The 23,613-nt window shown below is 36.6% G+C and overlaps 2 long non-coding RNA genes across 2 annotated transcripts in view; one reads left to right on the top strand and one right to left on the bottom strand.

The window, feature by feature from the left end:
- LINC00410 (long intergenic non-protein coding RNA 410) overlaps nt 1–6,317 on the top strand; it is a 35,644-nt gene extending 29,327 nt beyond the window's left edge. Inside the window, exons 5-6 of the long non-coding RNA NR_027039.1 lie at nt 3,731–3,884; nt 4,830–6,317. This is a non-coding gene — a long non-coding RNA (long intergenic non-protein coding RNA 410). The remainder of the gene's footprint in view (nt 1–3,730; nt 3,885–4,829) is intronic.
- LOC105370311 (uncharacterized) lies at nt 369–16,956 on the bottom strand. Its single transcript, XR_931637.2, has 6 exons — nt 16,892–16,956; nt 14,675–15,010; nt 12,152–12,253; nt 9,916–10,105; nt 8,761–8,815; nt 369–630 (listed from the first exon to the last, which is right to left on the bottom strand). It is a non-coding gene; the product is annotated as an uncharacterized LOC105370311 (long non-coding RNA).
- Between the last annotated feature and the right edge of the window lie 6,657 nt (nt 16,957–23,613).

Below are 23,613 nucleotides of genomic sequence, written 5' to 3'. Positions count from 1 at the left end.
ATCTAACTTGGTTTTAAACTAGTAAATATTTTATGCTTCCTCTGGGGTTATTTTTCAAGCATTACATTACCAGACCTAAGCTTAGATTGTTTCTTATTTCCTAATATATTTTTGTTTATTTGTAGACTCACCAAAGAATGGGTATTTAATAAATATTTAATACATATTTTAAAATGAAGAAACAAACTATAAAGTGTTTGCAACAAAAATTTTGACGTGTGTAATTGATATCCACATTATGCTAATAGCAAAGTGTAATGTTGCATTTCACTTTTGCCCCTGGCTTCTTCGCTTTTATTGTTATTTCAAACTGAAAGTGATGCCAGTTTGAAGAGTCTTAGCAAAGAGATAGAAAAAAAAAGATGCAGTGACTTCTTTGGGGATCAGTTTTTGAATATCACTTGTCTAGGTTTTATAAGGAGAGATGAAAAGCAATGCCAATATATACTTAATAAAAATCTACTCAATTCTTCCTATTGACTCAGGCTTCAAAAGAGATACAAAAGGAACCTTGATCACTACACATGAGGAGCTCTCTTATTAAGATGCGGTGCGTCTAGGCTAAGGCAAATGAAGCGCTTATGATTCTGTGCCTTTGTGCCTCCGAGGCAGGAGTCCAGTGACCAAACTCTAAAACCATTAAAAAAAAAGAAAACAGATTATTAGGCTTCACCCAAAAGATACTGGGACAGGGTTATTGATCCAATACAACAAATACTATTAATTACCCACCTCAGGTGCAAAGTTTAGGGCACCAAAACAACTTAGTAATCAAGATAAATACTATTTTAATGCAATCTTTTTTAAAAATAAAAATTACTGCAAAAGGCAAAAAGTGATCAACAAACTAATACATTTTTAAATAAAGATGTGATTAGTATTATTGATCTTTCCTTTTGTCTCAGGCTATGATATGGCTCAATGGGGCATTGTATCTTAAAACAAAACCACAACACAACTGTGAAATATTACCATTTATAGGCCAAAGCCATAGAGCAAATGATTCCTTCAGTGGCCTGTGTTAGCTGCTTTCGCTTCCCTCCTATCAGGGAGTTTCTGCAGTTATGGGCTGCTTATTTGCTGCAGCTGTTAGACTCTGTCCTCTCAGCCAGCACCAGGGATCACCAAACTGGCAGGAAGCAATTGCCTTGAAGACAATCATCTTTGGAAGTGCAACTTCTGGACCTCATTTCAACAGGGCTCACAAATTTCCGTTACAGGCATATACCTATATTCACATTCATCATTGCTTTAGAAGAACTGGAAATCTGAGGAATGATTCGATCGAAATTCAACAGAAATCAATAATAACAAAGCAAATATGTTTATTTCTTTGAGAGATTTTGTTTCCTTCAGATTCAGAATTCAGGTTAAACTATGATCAGACAGTATATGCCTCCTGTTTTTAGACTGTTTATGCTTACTAAAGTGAATGGTGATAAGTTAATTGACAGTTTTCTTTTACATACATTGAGCAATTCCAGTTTAAAGGTGTGTGTAAAAATACTTTGGTAGGAGTAAAATACTTTGTATGCCTTTGATAATCACTATAAATATTTTCAGAAGGATAAAAAAGTAAAGTAAAATGTGTCCTGTTTCTCATGTAGATTTTATTACCTTTTTCTTACTTATTCTGCTTGTGTAAGGTGTTATTACTTTTTAAGAACAATTTTTACTATTGCTTACCATCTACATGGCATGTATATATAAAATGGGAAGAAAACAAAGGGAAATTGTCATGACGTAAATATTCATTTGTGTCTAAAATAAGTTGTGTCCTATCATAATATAAAAAATATGATAGAGGAATTATCTTGTAGATCAATCAAGAGAACTTTAATATCACCAATCCCCAACTCTAAGAAATACAGAGTAAGCTGAAATGGCAACCATTCCACAGTTTTATTGAAAAGAATGGAGTAATGTATACATTTCATTCATTTATCTGACCATAAGAAGAATGCATGAGTTCTATGCAGAAGACGACAGAGAAAAACACTCCATTTAGAATGAAAAATGTAACCTTTCCTGTCATTCTGTGTGACTCTTCCTACGGGTTATATTATGCTATGCATGATACAGCATAATAGTAATATTCCGTAAGTGCAGCCATTGGCAACTAACAAGAATTGTACAAAACCATGTCTCATGGCAATTCATGAACTTTACCTTCAAGTCCCAAGGATGCAAATGTCTAAGCATATGAAACTAAGTTAACTGATACAGGGTTTGATTATCTGGATGCCCCTTAGGTAACTGCTGATAGTCTACTAGAAATCTACTAGGAGGATGGAAGCAAATAGGGCAAATAGGAGAAACTGAGGAAAATAGAACAAAATAAAACTTTAAGATGTAACAGGTGGGGGAGAAAAACGAGAAGAAATAAAATCAGCAACTGTAATTCAATCTACAGACATTTGCTATGGGAACAAAGAGTTCTTTTCTGTTTAATAACTTCACGGCCCATTATTGAATTTCAGCCTAGTGAAGCAAAAATCATCAAAATAATGATCCTGGTTCATCATAAAGAAGGCAGAGTGTATTAAATAAAGCTGGTGAAAAGATAAAATTTTAATATGAGTTTTAAAGTCCTCTCTCAAAGTTGTGTGTGCATGTGCTAATAACTGATGTGAAAATAAGTAAAATAGTCACTTTAAAAATTATCTCATAATACCATCTCATTGCATTATGATAACATATGTTATGAAACCTAGCTATCTCTCTATTTTGAGTATTCTCTTAACAAAATGTTAGGAATAGTGTGTATCTCTTGGAGGCAATAATAAAAATAATTTCTTTTCCTCTGTCTGTCTAAGAAGACAGAGTGGTTATAGAGGAAAAAAAGGCTACACTTGATATTAGAAGTCCTTGATATGAGACTCTGCTCCATAATTTACTTATGCTGTAATCATGAATAGAAGCCTTTTAAACTTACATCTATTGAGGAAAATGATGTCTGTCCTGTCAACTTTGATAGGGTGTGGATCACATTGGATAATGAACCTGTAAAAACCCATAGTTCTCCTGGATAATACACTGAAGAGTGTTTTCCAACTTGGTTCCATTCTCCCCATCACTTTCAGGTACACAAATCAAACATATGTTTGGTCTTTTCACATAGCCCCATATTTCTTGGAGGTTTTGCTTGCTCCTTTTCATTCTTCTTTTTTCTCTAATCTTGTCTTCATTCTTCCTTTCATTAAGTTGAACTTCAGTCTCTGATATCCTTTCTTCCACTTGATAGATTTGGTTATTGATACTTGTGTATGCTTCACAAAGTTCTCATGCTCTATTTTTCAGCTCCATCAGGTCATTTATGTTCTTCTCTAAACTGGTTATTCTAGTTAGCAATTCCTCTAACCTTTTTTTTCAAGGTTCTTAGCTTCCTTGCATTGGGTTAAAACATGCTCCTCTAGCTCGGAAGTGTTTGTTATTACCCACCTTCTGAAGCCTACTTCTGTCAAATCGTCAAACTCATTCTCTGTCTAGTTTTGCTCCTTTACTGGTGACGAGTTGTGACCTTTTGGAGGAGAAGAGGTATTCTGGTTTTTGGAATTTTTAAACTTTTTGCTCTGGTTTATCCTTATCTTTGTGGATTTATCTACCTTAGGTCTTTGATGTTGGTGACCTGTGGATGGAGTTTTGGTGTGGACGTCCTTTTTGTTAATGTTGATGCTATTCCTTTCTGTTTGTTAGTTTTCCATCTAACAGTTAGGCCCTTCTGCTGCAGGTCTGCTGGAGTTTGCTAGGGGTCCACTCCAGACCCTGTTTGCCTGGGTATCGCCAGTGGAGGCTGCAGAACAGCAAAAATTGCTGCCTGTTCCTTTCTCTGGAAGCTTCGTCACAGAGGGGCACCTGCCAGATGCCAGCCGGAGCTCTGCTGCGTGAGTGTTGACCCTTGCTGGGAGGTGTCTCCCAGTCAGGAGGCACAGGGGTCAGGATCCACTTGAGGAGGCAGTCTGCCCCTTAGCAGAACTCAATCACAGTGCTGGGAGATCTGTTGCTCTCTTCAGAGCCAGCAGGCGGGAACATTTAATTCTGCTGAAGCTGCACCCACAGCCGCACCTTCCCCCAGGTGCTCTGATGGGAGTTTTATCTATAAGCCCCTGACTGGGGCTGCTGCCTTTCTTTCAGAGATGCCCTGCCCAGAGAGGAGGAATCTAGAGACATAGTGTGGCTCCAGAGGCTTTGCCGAGTTGCAGTGTTCGAACTTCCCGGAGGCTTTGTTTACACCGTGAGGGGAAAATCTCAGTAATGGCAGATGCCCCTCTCCCCACCAAGCTCAAGCATCCCAGGTCGACTTCAGACTGCTGTGCTGGCAGCAAGAATTTCAACCCAGTGGATCTTGGCTTGCTGGGCTTTGTGGGGGGGGATCCACTGAGTAAGACCACTTGGCTCCCTGGCTTCAGCTCGTTTTCCAGGGGAGTGAACAGTTCTGTCTTGCTGGCATTCCAGGCACCACTGAGGTATGAAAAAAACTCCTGCAGCTACCTCAGTGTCTGCCCAAATGGCTGCCCAGTTTTGTGCTTGAAACCCAGGGCCCTGGTGACCCGAGGGAATCTCCTGGTGTGTGGGTTGTGAAGACCATGATAAAAGCATAGTATCTGGGCTGGAATGCACCATTCCTCATGGTAGTGTCCCTCGTGACTTCCCTTCGCTAGGGGAGGGAGTTCCCCGACCCCTCATGCTTCCCAGATGAGGGGACACCCACCCTGCTTCAGCTCACCCTCCGTGGGATGCACCCACTGTTTAACCAGTCCCAGTGAGATGAGCTAGGTACCTCAGTTGGTAATGCAGAAATGACCCACCTTCTGTGTTGATCTCCCTAGGAGCTGCAAACCAGAGCTGTTCCTATTCAACCATCTTGCCCACCTAGCAAGACAGGCCAAGATTCAAATTCAAAAATTACAGAGAATACCACAAAGATAATCCTCAAGAAGAGCAACCCCAAGACACATAATTGTCTGATTCACAAAGATTGAAATGAAGGAAAAAATGTTAAGGGCAGCCAGAGAGAAAGGTTGAGTTACCCATAAAGGGAAGCCCATCAGACTGACAGCAGATCTCTCTACAGAAACCCTACAAGCCAGAAGAGACTGGGGGCCAATATTCAATATTCTTAAAGAAAAGAATTTTCAACCCAACATTTCGTATCCACCCAAACTAAGCTTGAACCAGGTTTTCTCTCTGGTTGTAGTACACTCTTGCTGTCTGTCTTTCTTGCCTTCTTTCTGCACATTTTCCTTTTAGGAAATCAAGACATATTTCACTTCCTTGAAGGGGTTTGAGATTGATAAAAAGAAATGTGAAGAGAAAGAAGATAATTTTTTTCTTTTTCTGGTCCATATAAAGATGATGCTCTAACCCTCCTCCCTTACAAGCATGTGTACCTATCAAAAGAAAACTTAGAAATTTGAATCTTGAGTTTACATTTAAGTCATAGCACGGAGAGGATTGAGAATGTGGCACAATGGAATTCTCATCCCTACTATTTCTAAATCACTCAGCAAACTGAAGCTAGGTCTCTTTGCATGGTTTCCAGAGGCGTCATGATGGAATGGATACAGAAAATGGACAAAATACTCAAAATTTATGTCTTGGTTCTCACCACTCACTCATGGTTGAGACTCATTGTCTACCTGTGCAGATACGGCATTGATGGAGGCTGGTGTGTAAGTGAAAAAGCCACAAATAATGATACTTCCCTGTTGAGTTCTATTAATACACAGTCAATCTGTAAGTTATTCAGTAACACCACTGAGGGAGCAAAAATGTAGCTGAGACAAGAGCTTTTATGCCTCCCACTAAGCTGCACTTTCAAGGGGGCAAGGTAACCCTGAAGGTGGAGTAGGAAATTAGACATTTTAACTGAGGAACCATGCAGATTGTGCCCAAGAGTCAGAGAAGTACATTTTCTGCTAATAAAGAAATGGAGACAATGAATTAGGGAAAACAACTGTGATCCTGGGAGCTAATAAAATCACAGACTGCCAGTGCTAAGACAACATCCCACATCTTTCAACAGCCTCTAAATTCATCAGCAGGAGGCCACACCAGGTACACAGGATGAGCAAAGCCAGAGACTTACACTCAGAAAATGAACTGTGACCACATTTTCTTCTTGAAATTAGATGCCATATTAGGGAGTAAGAAAAGTTAGGGAGAAACAACCCTGATAAGAACTTGAATTTTAAATGGTTTGAATACTAATACAAAAGAGATTAAGTTAAACATTTTTTTAAACAATGATTTTCACTTTGTCTTATCTTTCTTATAGGTTGGTGGCCTCTGATGAAGGTATTCCAAATATAGACATTAAAAAAAAAAACTTTTGTGTTAGTGATTTTAGTTGCTCGATCCTGCTATGTTAGGTAGGAACTCAACAAATGTAGGAAAAATTGAAGAAATGATGTGTGTCCTCATTTATATATTATTCCTCATTTTCTCTTGAGCACCTCTTTCAGGATTCAATTTCCTTTTTAAATTTTAAGATTTCTCTAGACCAATGACTTCTAGAGATCAGCTGCGACATTAAGTTGTAATACTGTTAATATTAACTAAACATGCTTGTGAAAAGTCTAGCCAAGCAAAACTCACTTACCTAAGAGCTGGAGTAAGTTCCCAGTTTATACTTGTTAAAGTCAAGTGGCTATTAAGAAATCAGGAGTTAATCCAAATGACTATGTCATCATTTTAGGACCTACTGGCTCCTCAGTTGCCAAATATATTCATGTTCTTTCTATTGAGAGACACATTACTTCATCAACATAATTCCCATGTCTTGTTCCAGGCTTAGGACCAAGCCTGACTTTAGTTAAGAGGGATTTAAGATGCTCCAACAATCAGGAGACTCAGGAGTAAGTTAGTCTTTCCACTACACTAATTCCAACTCTGTCTCCAGTTTTACATCTCTTGTGACCTTTACTCGGACTAAGTTCTCCTTCCACATCCTCTTTCCGTTATTTTGAGTGTCCAAACTCCTGCTTTTGCTATCTAATTAGTACCAGAGTCTTCTAAGGCTGGATTTCTGTTTTGCTCTTATTTGTCTCTCCTTCTAAGAATTGGCTAATTCTTCCTGAATGCTGGCTCTGTAACTGGGATGGAAAATTGTGACAGATTTATCATCTGCTCCACTGAGTTTCAGAGTACTGCCTGTAGAGGCACCTTCATTACATTGTGTTGGGCAGTCAGGAGGCCAAATGTTTTCCTGCATTACCATCTGTTGTCTGTATTCTTCCTACTGAGTTTTACTTCAACTCATCAGGTGTCATTGACTCTTTCTACCTAGAGCCGGTTCACAGTTCCAGGTACTTGCCTCTTCCTGTCTAGACTGCACCACTTGCTTTGGGACATAATGATTATTCATTTGGGAAAAAACTGTAGACCAACTAGGCTATATGCAGCTTTATCTAATGGAAAATCTGTCTCAAGCTGGCACATACAATGAGAAATGTATCAGTTTTCAAATTTTGAAGTGCAGGGATACATCGACTTCGAGGTTGAGATCAACTAATGTTTCCTTATTTATGCATGTAGTTATGGAGACATGCAGTGCCAAGGTACGATTTTAATACATCACTCAAGAATAAAAATCACATTTAGATTTACTGAATGAAATAAAGGTTTTAAAATACAAGAAGCCAAATTAATAGTAATATAAGCACAGTTTTTATTTATTACCTTGACTTGGGAAAGGGTGCTTTAAAGATAGCCAATAGAAAAGGATAGACTCAAGTAACTTTTCTTGGGAATATTTATTCAGAAGGTTTTCTGAAAGAAGATAGTATATTTTCCTTAGTTCTCAATCTACACAATTCTGTATTCAGGTACATTTCTTTGGATTCAGCATTTATTAGATTAATCCAGATCAGCTGGCTCTTTCTAAACAGGACTTTCCAGGATAAGCTTATTTTTGATAGAATTTATTTTTGCCTTATTCAATTTTACCTTTAAATGTACTGGTCTTAAGCCAAAATTAATATTTATTATATCATCATTATCTTGTTTTCCTGTTTTCTTCAATTATATGTACTTCTCTCAAAACACCCATTGCCCAGGTCCCGCCACATACATATATATTTTTATTTTATTTATTTATTTATTTATTTATTTATTTACTTATTTATTTATTTATTGAGACAGAGTCTCACTCTGTCACCCAGTTTGGACTGCAGTGGTGCAATCTCGGCTCACTGCAACCTCTGCCTCCCAGGTTCAGGTGATTCTCCAGCCTCAGCCTCCCAAGTAGCTACTACTACAGGCACACACCACCATGCCTGGCTTTTTTGTGTTTTCGGTAGAGACAGGGTTTCTCCATGTTAGCCAGGCCTGTCTCAAACTCCTGACCTCAAGTGATCCACCTGCCTTGGCCTCCCAAAGTGTTGGAATTACAGGCGTGAGCCACCGTACCCGGCCACACCACATAATTATTTAGATTAAAGGTCATTGTCATATTTTAATTTCGATATTTTGAAAATAATAACGTTGACCTTAATAGGAAGTTTTTTTTTTTTTATTTTATCGCAAAACTATTTATTAGGGGCTGGAGGCAAGGGCAAGAGACTTTCTATGAACCAGAGTCTTGAATAGTCTTATGTGCAAAAACCACTTTCATGTGTATCAGTTCTTGTGATCTTTATAACAATGCCATAAACTAAATTCTAAATTTGGAAGTTATGTTGTATGACAATGAGATATAATAAAAAATGTGCTGGAGTTGAATTATAACACATTCTCTTACATCTCTAATCTGTCTCTTACCTGCATGAAGACTTCAGATAATTTTCTTAATCAACTATGGCAGAGTTTCCTCAATCTAAAATGGGAATCAAAACAGATATTTTGTTCCATTTCTAGGAGTTGAGTGAATCAACTGAAATAATAAGACCTTAGTATCAAGGTATTCTACTAATGTAAATAAGAGCTTTACACTGACGGAGACCAGACATGCATGACTGAGGTAAATCAAGTATGTTTGCTTATTTAAAGGATGCAAGAAGAAGCCAGCTAGTTGGGATATAAAGCAGGAAAATCCACACTATTTTAAGTGATAGACAGAGGATTAAATTCATAGGCACCCTATAAAGCCCTCAGAAGTAAACACACAATTGCAAATGATAAGTCTAAGTGAACGACAACCATATCAGATCTTTTGAGAAAGCTCAAAGTCTTCCTTCTGTGGCCAGGCTTATATACAGATGGCTGCAGATATTCATTGCATCTACTGGGAGCCATCTTATTTTAGGCAGGTACACCTTACAGGTCTTGGTGTAATACAATAAACATTGTGAACACAGACTGGTTGACCACAGGGCAGTGCTCTCAGGAACAAATGGTCCTCATTTATCCCCCAGTATTCCTAGTACTCGCTTAAACTTAGAACTGCCAAATTAGAAATAGACTTAGTTACCAAGATGTCCTTACTCCACAGCCTCTTAGATTAGCCCCAGAATATATTTTTCAGTTCACCACGTTACTTAATATTTTCTGTGTATGTGGTCTTAACCAATCTAAAGAATTTGATGTTTAAACTTTCTTCTACACATCATGTTCTCTGTGTCAGGGAGTCAGATATCTAAATTAGGCCTCAAGGGTTTCAAGAAGCAATACGGGACAACTGTATCTAATATCCTGTTACCTAACTTACAAGATGACAGTTTCTTCTGAATTCTTGCCTATTATGACAATTAAAATACAGAACTTTTGGAATCTCCATAATTAGGTAGGCAGCCATTTTATCCTGTTCAGTTTATAATCAATTCCTGTTGTGCCAAATCACTAGAAATTGGAAGTTCATTGAAAATGCAAACGGTTGCATATCTATCCAGATAAGGCTGCAAGATGAAAGATATTATAGTGATTAACAGTATCTAAGTAACTGTACCGGAATTCTTGCTTCACATATAAGATACTTACATGTCTTGAAATCCCAGGGAGGAACCTCAGCTACGGTTCAAGTGAATGATCCCAATAACCAACGCTAGTTCATTTGGGAGAGAAGGAGAACTGTGCTTCTGGACGTTGTGAAGGACAGTACTTTTATTCCTCCAAGTGAAGTCATTCTCCCTCCTCCTCCATTCCCCAGTATAATGAAATTTCACAATATCTGTCAAAAATATTTTCACTAATTGATTTGAGTAGTAATTTTTGGTCAGGTCAGCTATAATGAGGAAGTAATACTCTAACTCCAGATTTAAGAGGGATCAGGGTCTTAAAAAAATTCTATATTGCTGATCAGATTAAGCCTATTGTGTATCAGTTGAGATCTAACCTCTTTCTCCAGGCTCTTTCCTTGAATAACTATGCACTGTAAAGTAATTACCATCATTGGTCAAACTAACCACGGTCAGTCAGGTCCTTCCACAAATAGGTATTTTACTTGAGTTGCTTTTGAGACAAAAAAAAATTAAAATTTTATAAATGTCTATATTATTTCCTATGTTTTATTTCATCTTAATAATCTAACCAAAGCTTTATATTTTTCTGATTTTTTTCAGGTAGTTCTAGAATACTGCTAAGGAAGGTACATGTTTGCACTGATTTGGGATGATCTATTTACTAGTAAACAAAGGTTGGAATATAATAAGGCAAGCCAGGCCACAGGACATCAATAGCAGAATTTTAGAGCTTCATTCACACTGCATTTCAAACACTTTTACCAGTACATTTTTAATAGTAATGGTAGAGGTGTCTACTACTTATTGAGTTCCTACTGTATCAGGTACTTAAATGTGCATAGTTACTCAAGGAAACGGCCTTGTAGGAAGAGGTTAGATCCTAACTGATACATAACATGCTTAATCCTATAAACAATAAAGGCATTCTAAAATAAATGATTCTTCGTATTCTTTTAAATTATCATGAAAACCCTACGAGTTATGTGTAAAATTATCCCCCCTTCCTTTCTATTTCCATCCCTTCTCTCTTATCCTTCCTTCCTTCCCTTACTCTTTTTCCATCTTTCTATCTCTCTCTCTCTTTTACATTTTAGTTGAGAAAATTTGGCCAATCTAGACATAGCATGTAAATAGATCTGATCTCTTTATACAACTGCTTTATGGAAACTGAGAGGCTTAAATATCACTATGTGAAGGACTATGGTAAAAGTGAAGTGGGTATCATTGAAAGGGTTCAAGATCTCCTTCCTGTGGGTGACTCTAGGAGCTAAAGTTAAAAATATTAGACTCATTAATAATCAAGGTGTATGTATAGATGATATGTATAATGATTGATATATATAGTTGTAAAGGAAAAATTCAGAGAAAATATATTTATATTGCTTTTTCACATTTTATTTTCAAGGGCATAAATTCTAATTAAGCTAAAATAAAATAAGTATTATAATTTCCACTTATAGTAATTATATCTTTGAGATTATTGTATTAATTCTAACAAAATGATCTATTTTTACTTATGATCAAGTTTAAGGTTCTATTAATGGCTAGTAAAGCAAGAAATCTAGCTTGTTCTTTCCTCTTTGAAAAATCAAATAAGGGGCATGAACTAAGTTACACTCATGAAAATATGTAATGCAGTAATAGTAATAAAAATGACATATTTTCAGTAAAGATAACCTTACTAAAATATTACAGGAAAAGAAATTAGTAAACAGAATGTAATTCCCTCCTGATATTGAATCCTTTACCTAGTAAAATGCCTAAAACATTGCCACAGAACATTAATACCCAGTTTTGACTGTTCCAAAAATTCTAAAAAACTACGGATCAAAACACTGCAGTCAGCCATCTGCAGCAGAGCCTTTAAAAGCCTCTTAAACTGGCAAGAGACCACATTAATCAATTTGTGATTTATATTGGACTTATAATTGATTTCATTTGAAATCATAAATATAGTTTCCATTAAAATAGACATACACTCCTAACACTGTAATAATGCACTATTCTGACAATATAGAATTGAAGTTCAAGTTCATAAATGAGAGAGCTGGGTTCAAGTAGCTGACAAAATGCAGAATGAGATTTGTAACTAGCTCTTGAAGGTAGGACCGTAAAGATGAATAGAGACAATTGAAAGTACTTTTGCATCCCAAATAAATTATTTTAAGTACAGTTCTGGAGGAGACTCTTTCTTAAATGATGGCTTTTATTATTTAAGCATGATTTGTAATATAATTCTCTTCCGTTAAACGTACCATTCCTCTTTTGGGGCCAGTATAGAGATGACACATTTGAAATAGTATTTTTATTGTCCTACATTGTAGCATTGTCTTCTGCTTCTACGTCTTAAATATTACCTGTAAACAATCCCAATGAACAGGTAATGAGTGAGCAAGTGGTGATATTAAATAACCAAACAGAATTGTATTACATTAGAGTAGAAAAAGTTAGATAGATAATCCAAAAAATAGTAAATTTCACATATTATCACATTATTATTCAATAGTATGATTGAATTGTACAAAACAGAATGTTGAAAAGGCTCAGAGTAACGAATATAGTCAAGAATATTTTTCAAAGAAGGATGATAAATCTAGGTAAAAATTGTGTACGGTTTCACTTCAAATTTTATTTCTAATCATCTTCTGACAGCATAAATGAAAAGACATTTTGAATACAGAGGTGATGATGGGGTCTCTTAATATTCAGAAAATTTCATATTTCTTCAGAATGTCTAGCAATGAAAATGTCTGAGCTGCTATTTCCATGTTAGATCAAGCAGCTGCTACAAGTTGGTTCCGGTGTTTTGAGAGCCCCGTTTCCCTACCCTTTAGTGAACATCCTCCATGTTAAGAGTCCTGGGATCTGAAGGCCCTCTCTCATCCATCTCATGGAAATCTTAGCCCTTCTCCCTTTCTCCCTTGAGCCCACGAGAAGCCCTTCTGACAAGGCACTGAGTCTCAGCTCTTCAGAGGGCACCCGGATCCCCTCTTACTTTGGCAGAATCCTCATTTCCTGTGCCAGTCCAAGCCTGACTCTCCTCTCATGTCCTGTTCCAAATCCAGCATAAGAGGACATCTGTAATGGCCACTACCAACGGAAGCCCTTGGCAAGTTCATTCAGCATAAAGGGGAGTGAGAGATGCTTATTCCACAGGTGTGTGTGTGTGCGCGTGTGTGTGTGTGTGTGTGTGTGCTTGAATGTGAGAGAGTTCCTCAGCATACCTTACCTCTTCTGAACTCCTAAGTAAATGAATTAATAGCATTTTTTTTTGTCTGAAATCAGTCACTAACTACTGTTTAAACATTTCTATGGGGACATGTACATTGTATTCCAAGAAAATAAAAAAGTATAAAAGTTAAATTGTGATGTTTTACTGCCTTGGTACATCGGTCTATAGATACTACAAATAGATTATCAATTACAAAAGAATTACAACATTTTAAACATACTTAATATGTAAGTGGATATTATAAATTTAATTTTCACTGATGCTCTTTAGGGTTATCATTAAAAGTATCATTTTTCAAGGAGGGGAGATATGTTATAACTCCTCCTACTACTACTACTATTATTATTATTATTATAGCAGTGTCATCTAGTGGAATGAGCATGAATGACAAAAATAACCTACATCACTGGTTTTCTGGGAGGAATAACTGAGTGAATGCACCTAAATTTCCTCTCACAGTTCCTGGTATATTTGTCAATGCTCATGATAGGTCTTTTTTTTTTTCTCGATGTGGACAATTATGGGTACTTTGGATTGTGCCATTCACTTATTTGCATATATTTTACATTTTCCAAAATAAATTATTTCTTCTGGTAATCAGTGAAAAATACTCAGTACAATGTCTGGCATGTAGTAAGCACTCCACAAACATCAGATATTGGTATTTATATTAATTATACATGTTATTTTCAATTTGCCTTCCTATCCAAGTCTAGGTTGTGAGCATTTTCTCACTTTACTAAAGATTCCTCAAAAATAATTTTACAGGTATATTAGAGATTTAATATTTCTTCTTTATTTCAATTTTTAAAATGCCACAATGAATGTTCTCATACATAAATCATTTTGTAGTGTTCTGAGTTTTATCCCTGAGGATAAAATTCCAAAAGTCAAATAGCTTTTTTAAAAATCATTCTTCCTCAGCATGAGAAATTCAGAAAGAATAGGAAATTTCTTCAATAAATTTTTATTTTCTGATAGTTGCTGAATATTGTATGTTTAAATTACATTTATACTCTAACTTCTTTCATTCTCATTTATCTGTTTCAAAATAGACCTCACAGTTTTCTTAGCAGTCTATATCTTTTAATTTTGGATAAACATGATTTGAGTAGCTTGTTAAAAAACAAACAAACAAAATTCCCCCAAAATCATGCACCCAAAATACAGTGTTTCAATTGAATATAAAAGCTATCTCTAAGCTCCTTGTCGGACTAAGAGAAGAAGGAAATATTATACTAAAATGTGATAAAGTGTTCAATAACAAAATAATATTAGGGTATTAGGGGAGACGATATTTTTACTGGGTTCAAGCTGCAGAGAATATTCTCATGTGGACAGTGCCATAGGCCGTGCCCAGACTGGCTGTGATCACTTCTCTCTAGACCTTCACACTATAGCTCGTGTGGCTGCACGGGCCCACAGGCTGGTCCTCCACACACAAGGTAGTTGCATTGTGATTGGCCACGCATGACTCCTAGTCATAGTTACATAATTTGTGGTCCATGAAGCATGAAATAACTGGAAGTAAAGTTAAAAGTTGTACCTGATATCTAAATCCTTTGATCCCAGTTGCTATGGCTTGCTAAAGGCTGGAGTTCCAAGTGACATGGTTGAAAGAAGCAAGGCAAGCTCCTTCTCGGGAGGGGGATGTGGCAGAACTCCTTGGACAGGAGGAGTGCCATTGCCACCAGCAAAGCATGTGTGCCCAGGAGGACCTAGGAGTCCTGAGAAGCCACACGCAACCCACATTGCTGAGCCTGCTAGACTTTGTCGAGAATACACTCTTTTAGCTCATCCCAATAAACTGGAAGTTTACATGTGAGACTGCCGATTTTCTCCAGGCCTCCAACCAGGTCCTCTGTGAATTAGTTCAGATGCGCTGCGGGATATAGTAAATGGTATAACACATGAAGTCAAAGGCAACAATTTTATATAACTGAAGCAAGAGTACACGTGTAACTTTTTCTTATAAGGATCTTAGTAGTGTTAGATGACAAAAATAAATTTATGGATGAGTCCTTTTAGGATATATTAGATTTACAAGTTTAAACATATTTATTTATGAAACATACAGGACTCTTGATATATGCTATTATATATTGTGATTGTACACTTCCAAAACTTTTAAAGAAAGTTGCTTCATCCCCACCCTCTGTTTCCACACCTCCACACCAAGGAATTTACTGGGATTAATATTCTATAGTTTATCATTTTGGGATTAATGCCACCTTAGGAAACATATTTTTCATATTTTGTACATTGTTACAGATAGTTGAAAAAAGCCTCATTGTTAAATAAGATGCAGTGTGTGTGTGTGTGTGTGTGTGTTTATATACACATGAAATGAAAGTGGGGTGATTGTATTAAGCCGTTCTTGCATTGCTATGAAGAAATAGCTGAGCCTGGGTGATTCATGAAGAAAAGGGGTTTAATTGGGTCATGGTTCTGCAGGATATACAGGAAGCATGGCATTGGCATCTGCTCAGTTTCTGGGGAGGCCTCGGGAAGTTTTTACTTGTGCTGGATGGTGAAGCAGGAGCAGTCACATGGCTAGAGCAGGAGCAAGAGAGAGTGACGGGGAAGATGCCACACACTTTTTTAAAATTATACTTTAAGTTCTGGGGTACATGTGCAGAAAGTGCAGGTTTGTTACATAGGTATACACGTGCCGTGGTGGTTTGCTGCACCCATCAACCCGTCATCTACATTAGGTATTTCTCCTAATGCTATCCCTCCCATAGCCCCCTCACCCCCTGACAGGCCCCAGTGTGTGATGTTCCCCTCCCGCCACACCCTTTTAAACAACCAGATCTCATGAGCACTTACTCACTATCACAAGGACAGCACCAAGGGTATGATTCAAAACCATTTATAAGAAATCTGCCCCCATGACCAAAACACGTCCCACCAGGCCCCACATCCAACACTGGGGATTACATCTCAACATGAGATTTGGAGGGGACATTCAAACTATATCAATAATATTTGTGGATTTGTGGAAGGTAGGCTCATATGGCCACTTGTTGAGGACTTTTGACTGGCAAGGCAGAAAGCAATCTGGGTCCTTGATTGAATCAAGAAGAGCAGAGAAGGAGGCAGCACATGAGGGGAGACTTTGCTGGAGCCGAAGGACAGAAGACGTTGAAGATCGCAGTCTCTGTTTTGCTAGAGCACACCCATTCCACTTCAAGAAATGGCGTGTGCCTGTAGTCTCAACTACTCAGGGAACTGAAGCAGGAGGACAAATTGAGCCCAGGAGTTTGAGGCTGTGCGATGATTGGACCTGTGAATAGCCACTGCACTCCAGCAAGACATTGAAGGTTGAGATACTGTTGAGACATGGATTGACCTGATATTGTAGGAATGATAAAACATATACTCGAAATTGTCAGTGTGCAGTGACTACAAAAGTGAAAAAGACAACAACCAGGACACTTTTCTTTTATTAATGTTATTTCCAAAATAAAGAAGAATTCCTGAACTAAAGTCTTGCATGCTTTATTCTCCATTTAAAACCATTGCTAGTCACAGCTTGGATGTATGCAATAAGCACACACACATTTATATGTACCATATATGCATCATTTGCCATTTTTCTAGAACAATAGATGGCTATGTATCCATGGAAATGCAAGCACATTCAAATTGATCGTAAATCTACAAACTGTATTTACTGAATAGACTATGTATGTTATGCGCGCATGTGTGTTGTGTTGTGTTGTGTGTGTGTGTGTATGTGTGTATGAAGATATAAACTTACCCTTTTATTATCCAGTATGAATTATTCAGGATGCCTTGTTGATAAAATATTCTGGGTATGGTTTATGGGTTTAACTGAAACATAAGTGAAAAAGTAAAATTAATCTGAATAAATATAGTCAAGTTTAAGAAAATTTAATGGCTACCTTACTCAAACAATGATTAAAAATGAATTGTTGATTTATTTAAGGAAACCAACACATAGGTTTATTCAAATTTCCATTTCTGAATGCTCTCTATATAATTTCTTGCTAGTTATAATATCCTTGCTCATTTTGATTATTTGGCAAACAAGTGTTTTTGGAAGGCACAACTTAAATATACTAATATGCATTTATATGCTATTAATTGAGAAATAAGACATTTCCTCTCTCTCTATATATATATATATAGAGAGAGAGAAGATATAGATACTACTGTAGTCCTACATTTATATATTTTCACTTTTTTTTAAAGAGATGGCTTTAAGTTCTGTTAGTATAAATAATATATAAATTTGATATAAGATAAAGATTATATTCTTATTTCTGACTGAAATCCCATTTATATTTGACTTAGATATAAAAACTTAAAGAACATGAACTATTGTTAAACACAATGACTTCTTATTTAGCAATTATACAAAATATTTTTCTCTTAGGATAAGAGGCTCTTAGGATAGACAAGGGCTGATTTTGATCATTCAGCCCAAGATGGGAAGAGAAGATTGTGTGCAGGTGAATAGACAGAGGGACTTATCTATCTGTTCTCTCAAGTGCACCCATGTAATGGTTTTCAACCGTGGTTCAACACTTAAATCAGAATATTTGGGAGCATAACCAACTTTGGTATTTTTAAGCACTTCTTAAATGGTAGCAGTTATGTGCAGACAGAGGTGAGATGCTCTGAAAAGAGAAGCTCCTTCTCACCAGCACCCTGTAATTCTGAAGGGAGGGAATGCCTACTTTATAGGCAAAGATGGAAATCTTGAGGTAGAATAGTTTTTCCTATTATACAGACTGGATCATCACATTTTTGTTGTTTGGGCATGAATCTATTTGACAGAGAAGCCCTGAAATTTTTTTCTGCTAAAATTCAAAGCTTTATAACCAATATTGACCTGAAACAAGCCCAGGGGGTCAGGGGAGAGAGAGTTCATATATTTCAAGAAAAAGTATTTTATATACAGGAAAGGCGGCAACAAGGAGTAGAAAATACCTTTGAATTTGGATGGAGAAGGCTGTAAGTCCGAGTCCCACGGCTGATTCCGACTAATTGTACTAACTGTGTAGAAAATCCCTAATGTTTTTTCTACTTCTAAAACTTCACAACTCTCATTTGGTTTTAGAACCCTCTTAATTCGGTTTTAATTTCCTTTTCTCTTTTAGCCTCACCTTTCTCTTTGCTCTCAAGGTGTTCCCTGCAATTATTTATTGTTTATTTTAATAGCCCTCTCTAACCTTTCCCTTTGTGCATTTAAACTTAGCTCTTGAATGTGTAACCCATAAAGTGACCTACTTGCTTTTAGTTGTAATTTTATACATAATCAGTTAATAATAGGGTTTTAGTATCTAACACACTTCCTTTTTTGACATTTTATTCAATTGAATTTGGAACAGGTCTTTCATCCAAATGAATGAATGGTAAATTTTCAGTTCTCAATGCTAGGTCAGGAAAGAATAAAAATTAAGAAAAGATACCCTTTCCAAACGTTAATAAGTATATACTTAATTTATGTAGCAAAGTAGGTATGGCTTTAGATAATGGGTATTTTAAATAATACCCTCCCATAATTAAGCTAGTGCTGGAACTTTCTCTCCATATAATTCCCAAACCCTTTCAATATACCATAATTCAACAATATCATGTTCAAGTTCCATCTAAATAGATATCCTTCTTGCTACTTGTGATTTAAAAAATGTGTTTCCTGTGGTTAGTTAATAAACATATAAACAGTTTCAAAAGAATGAAAATATAATTTTATATATTGTGTGGAAATCTAAGTACATAAAACTTAATGCACATGTAGCATCTAATGTTCAACAGGAAACACACATATATCTATATCTAGGAACTAAAATTCACTGTGTATCATAGTGTGTTGAGACCTTAGGAGTCACATAATTCAAAACACAAATAAACTGTCTTCTTTGACATGTGAGCAATTCAATTTATCCAGTCAATGAAGAATAACACAGAAATGGAGTGGGAGGTATATTTCCTCTCAATTAACTGTTTTCTGGTTGTTGGTTTTAGATTGTTTTCTAACAACTTGATGTTTCTAATAAATTGTATTCTGCTGTGTTCAGTTGTGCCCCTTCTAATCTACACTGCTGACAGATATTTCTAAAAAGGCAAATTACATCATGTTACTTCCTAATTATTATCTTTATGCAGCATCTCGTTGCCTGAAGCATTGATTTTCAACACTGCCTACATATTAGACATGGAAAACAAAACAAATTAAAAAAAAAAAACTCTTGACGACCAAGCTGCTTCCTAATCTTTACTGTTAGAGCCTGGCCATAGTCATTTTAAAATTAGAATCCCCTGATGATCCAAATACAGTTATTCTTGGGAACAAGAGGCTACATCCTCAAACTGATTTCTTCTGCGTGGCATGTAAGTAGGATGCTGACACCAGAGTCCACCTCTCTTGTCTCCAGATTCTCTTCCCAACTGCACTTCATTTTCAAAAGTACATGAACACACACAGGCACACACAAATGCATGCATGCATGTGCCAACATCCTACATTCAGTTGCTTTTAAACTCCTTCATGTTTCACAAATGAGCCTCAGATGAGATTTAAAATCTGGGTAAATGTGGTCAACAGAAGTTCTGGATCATCCAGCCACTCAGTCAGAGGCAAGTCCAAGAGGACTCTGCTTTGTTCAAATGGCTTGTCCTGGTAGAAAAGAACTCTGCCCCACCTACCCCTCCCTTCCCTGCATTAGAACCCGAGCCTTGATCGCACCAGAACAGGTAGTGGACCGACCACACCATCCCGTGCATGCTCAAGACAGCCAGTTGACTGGACTTGTAGAGTAAAGCTGCCTCTACACCCTAGGGAAGGACCATGTTATGTTTCCTTACTCTGAGCTGCAATCACCTGAGGACCAGATAAGAAGCAAAGCCCAGATGTTTATTTCCAGCATCCAATATTTTACATGCTGCTAGAATTCTGCTAGTCCTGCTTATCTGCCCTCCTCCACAGATCAGTTGGAAAAAATATCCTCCAAGATTCATGTCCTGCTTTGCTCTAGAACTAGCGAAGTGCTTTGTTAATATTAGGCTATAAAATTTGTTGAAAATGAATAACAATAACAGTAATAATAGCTTCTTATGTACCAGGGAGTGAACTACATACACACTGTTAATATGCCATCTTCTATATTGTAATTTATTATAATTTTTATTTTTTAAAAAAGTCTATATGTGAGTAGTATTATCTCCATTATACTAATGAGAAAATGGAAAAATTTAGGAAAACGAGGTAACTTGTTCATGAAAATTATCATCATTATCATTGCAAACTAATATTGACTGAGTTTTCCTTCTGCTAGCTACTATACCAAGTGCCTTACATATCATAACTCATTTAATTTTTATGACTCCTATAAAATTATGTACTAATATTATCCCAGTTTTGTAAATGGGGAAATTGGGACAGACAGAAGAAAACCTGCCCAAACTCACTCAGCTATTAACAGTCAGAGTTTGGGTTTAAGCGTAGCCAGTTTGGTCTCTGACCAGTGTCTTAATTATAATGTAGTGCATTGTTATTTAAACATAGTACTATGACTTTAACTCTCTTATTTTATCCACTATTTAATGAAATAGAATCATTATCTGACTCGCAAAAATTATTTGTCTTCTGAAAATTGGAAGTAATCTTTTTTAGTCTTTCATGTAACACACAAAAATCTAGATTTCAGAAATGAATATATGGAGAGAGAAATATATCTAGGGTATATTGAATTCAAAAAAATGAACATGAGTTTTACTATGACCTGAGAATTGTAAATACATTTAATTAATAAAACCAATTTAATTAACAAAAGGATTTTAAAAAACTACACTGTATTAGTCCCTTAGAGAACTTTATTCATTTGCACATTGGTGCAAGCCCATTGCCCTATATTTGGGGGGATATTTTAAGAAACGATCTCCATGAGTCTCTGTGCTTTGCTTGTGCATTTTTGCTGTTAAGGTGGTTGTTTATGATATTCCAGAGTGTTTTCTTAATTGGAACCATTGGGGAAACATCTTTCTCATCTCATTTTCACTGAAGGTTGTGCCTCCCCTGAGAAAATGAGTTGCTTTAATCTTATGAACCTGTGAATGATGTAGCATATTTTGATTACCCCTTTATTCTGGCTAGTAAAAATCACACAGGCAAATTTATGACATAGCTTAAACAAATATTTAGGGAGTTATATCTCAAATTTGGTATATTATCTTCAATGCAATCTGTACTTTGCATTCCTACATCTATTTCACTATGGATGTTAAAATTTCATGTAAGCTAAGGCTATGTAAATGTAATTATTAGTGTCCATATTGGCAGATAAATTTGCCTTATTCTAGTTTGCTTTGATTCTATCACACTGGAAATAGCACAGTTTATTTTTTGGAGATTGAAAGCACTGAGTATCTAAAATGGAAATAATCAAAATATGAGGATTCTTAAATTTGCAGGATACAGGAAAAGGAAATGTTATTTTGCCTGGAGGGACTAAGTGTGCAAGTATGACAACTATATTCAAATAGTAATAGCTGTGACCATCAACTGGTTGTTAATGTCTAAGTGCACAAACTCTGGGGCCAGATCCTTGGGTTCAAATCCTGCCTTTTCCTGTTATTGAAGGAACCCAGTGAGTTGCTGAATGTCTCTGTGTCCCAGTTCTTTTGTTTGTATAATGGAGATAATAGATCCTACTGTACAGGGTTTTTGTATCAATCAAATGAGTTTAACTATATAAACTTCTTAGAACTGTGTCTATAAGCACTATAAAAGTGTTGGATATTATTATTTGTTGAATTTTTCCCACCTGTTGATATTATCAAGAATGATGATATGAGTATGGGTAGAAAGAAAGGAATGAAGAGGAGTTAATGTTTTCAACAAATAGAGAAGAATTAATGGGAGGTCTGTTAATTATTGCTTCAGGGAGCTATAGCCAAAGTAAGTCCTTTAAGACAATTTGTAATTTAAAGCATGGGTCCCCATCACTGGGCCTGTTAGGAACAGGGCCACACAGCAGAAAGTAAGCAGCCTGACAGACAGCATTACCAACTGAGCTTGGCCTACTGTCAGATCAGCGGTGCCATTAGATTCTCATAGGGGCTCGAACCCTATTATGAACTGCGCATGTGAGGGATGCAGGTTGAGTGGTCCCAATACGAATTTTACTAATGATGATCTGAGGTGGAATAGTTTCATCCCAAAACCATTCCCCACCAAATCTCCACTGGTCTGTGGAAAATTGTCTTCCATGAAATTGGTCCCTGGTGCCTAAAAGGTTGGGGTCCACTGATATAAAGGACAAAAAAAAAGATTGGAAGTCATAGTAGGACCAAGCACGACAATATTCCCACCCTCAAGTTCCGACATACAGAGGTAAGAAGAAAGTCTAGCTTCCACCTAAGGGGGCTGCAAGGAAACAGTATTCTCTCAGAAACCAGTTTTCAATTAAGAACTGGTGATGCAAAATTAAACAAATTTGAAGGTTGCAGGTATTTAATATTACCTAACTACCTACTCAAACTTACAGTTTTCAAACTACCTTTCATGCTAACCTGTCATTCTCGGTGCTGACAGCTGCTATAGGTGTGTTTCTTAATTATTTCATTTCTTTAATAATCCCTCTTTGGTTTTCATGTACATTTCAATCTTCTTCTGAATAATGGCTAGCTGCTTAAGTTTTTCAGGTGTTAACTCCTCTGACCTTTTGCTATGGTTGTGTTTGGTGCGCCATGTAAGTGTGTCCTTTTTATATCTGAAGTGGAAACCACTGCTTATTTTGTATAGTCAGTGCCAATGTGAAGGAAGCTATTCTTCCCTAGTCTGTATTGGGACGCCAAAAGGGGAATTATTGAGGTTATTGCTTGAATTTTATCCACTTGAGGAGAAAAACATATTACTCTAAAAATTCATCATCTTCTAGATGCCAGACCTCATCAAAAACACTACTCAATTTAGAAAGAATTGTGGAGTAGAAGAGAAATTAAGAGATTGCATTATTGATTGGGAGGCATTTAACATCTTCTTCCCTTTTCATACCATAGGAAGCTGAGGGAAAAAAAAACCAACAACAACAACTATGGGTCCACATTGATTTTATTTGGTGTTTGGGGCATTAAAAAATCAGAGATGCTGAAAATATTTAAGACACCTGGAGGCCATACTAATCAATATCCTCCATTTCATTGTAATGTTTACTAAATATATCCTTAAAGCCATAACTCAATTTTGGGTATAAGCATGAACACAGCTCCACCCAAGAGGGCTGCAGGGAAAAGGTATTCTCATGGGAGCTAGGTTTCAGTTAAGGTAAAAAGGTGGTAGAAAAACTAAAACGTATTTGAAGGAAAATTATAGGGACTTGGTGGTGGTTCCACAGGAGTTTCAGAGAGAACAGTGGAAAAGTTTTACAGAGCTCAGGTTAGAAATACACAGAAGAGTAAAGTGGTAAAATACAACAGATGCTCTGGGAATTTTGGGCTTCTGGAAGTCAGATA

The sequence above is a fragment of the Homo sapiens genome, chromosome 13 (genome assembly GCF_000001405.40).
Source record: "Homo sapiens chromosome 13, GRCh38.p14 Primary Assembly".
NCBI classification, from domain to species: domain Eukaryota; kingdom Metazoa; phylum Chordata; class Mammalia; order Primates; family Hominidae; genus Homo; species Homo sapiens.
Note: the sequence above shows the minus strand (reverse complement) of the source record. Positions and strands in the feature narration are given on the sequence as shown.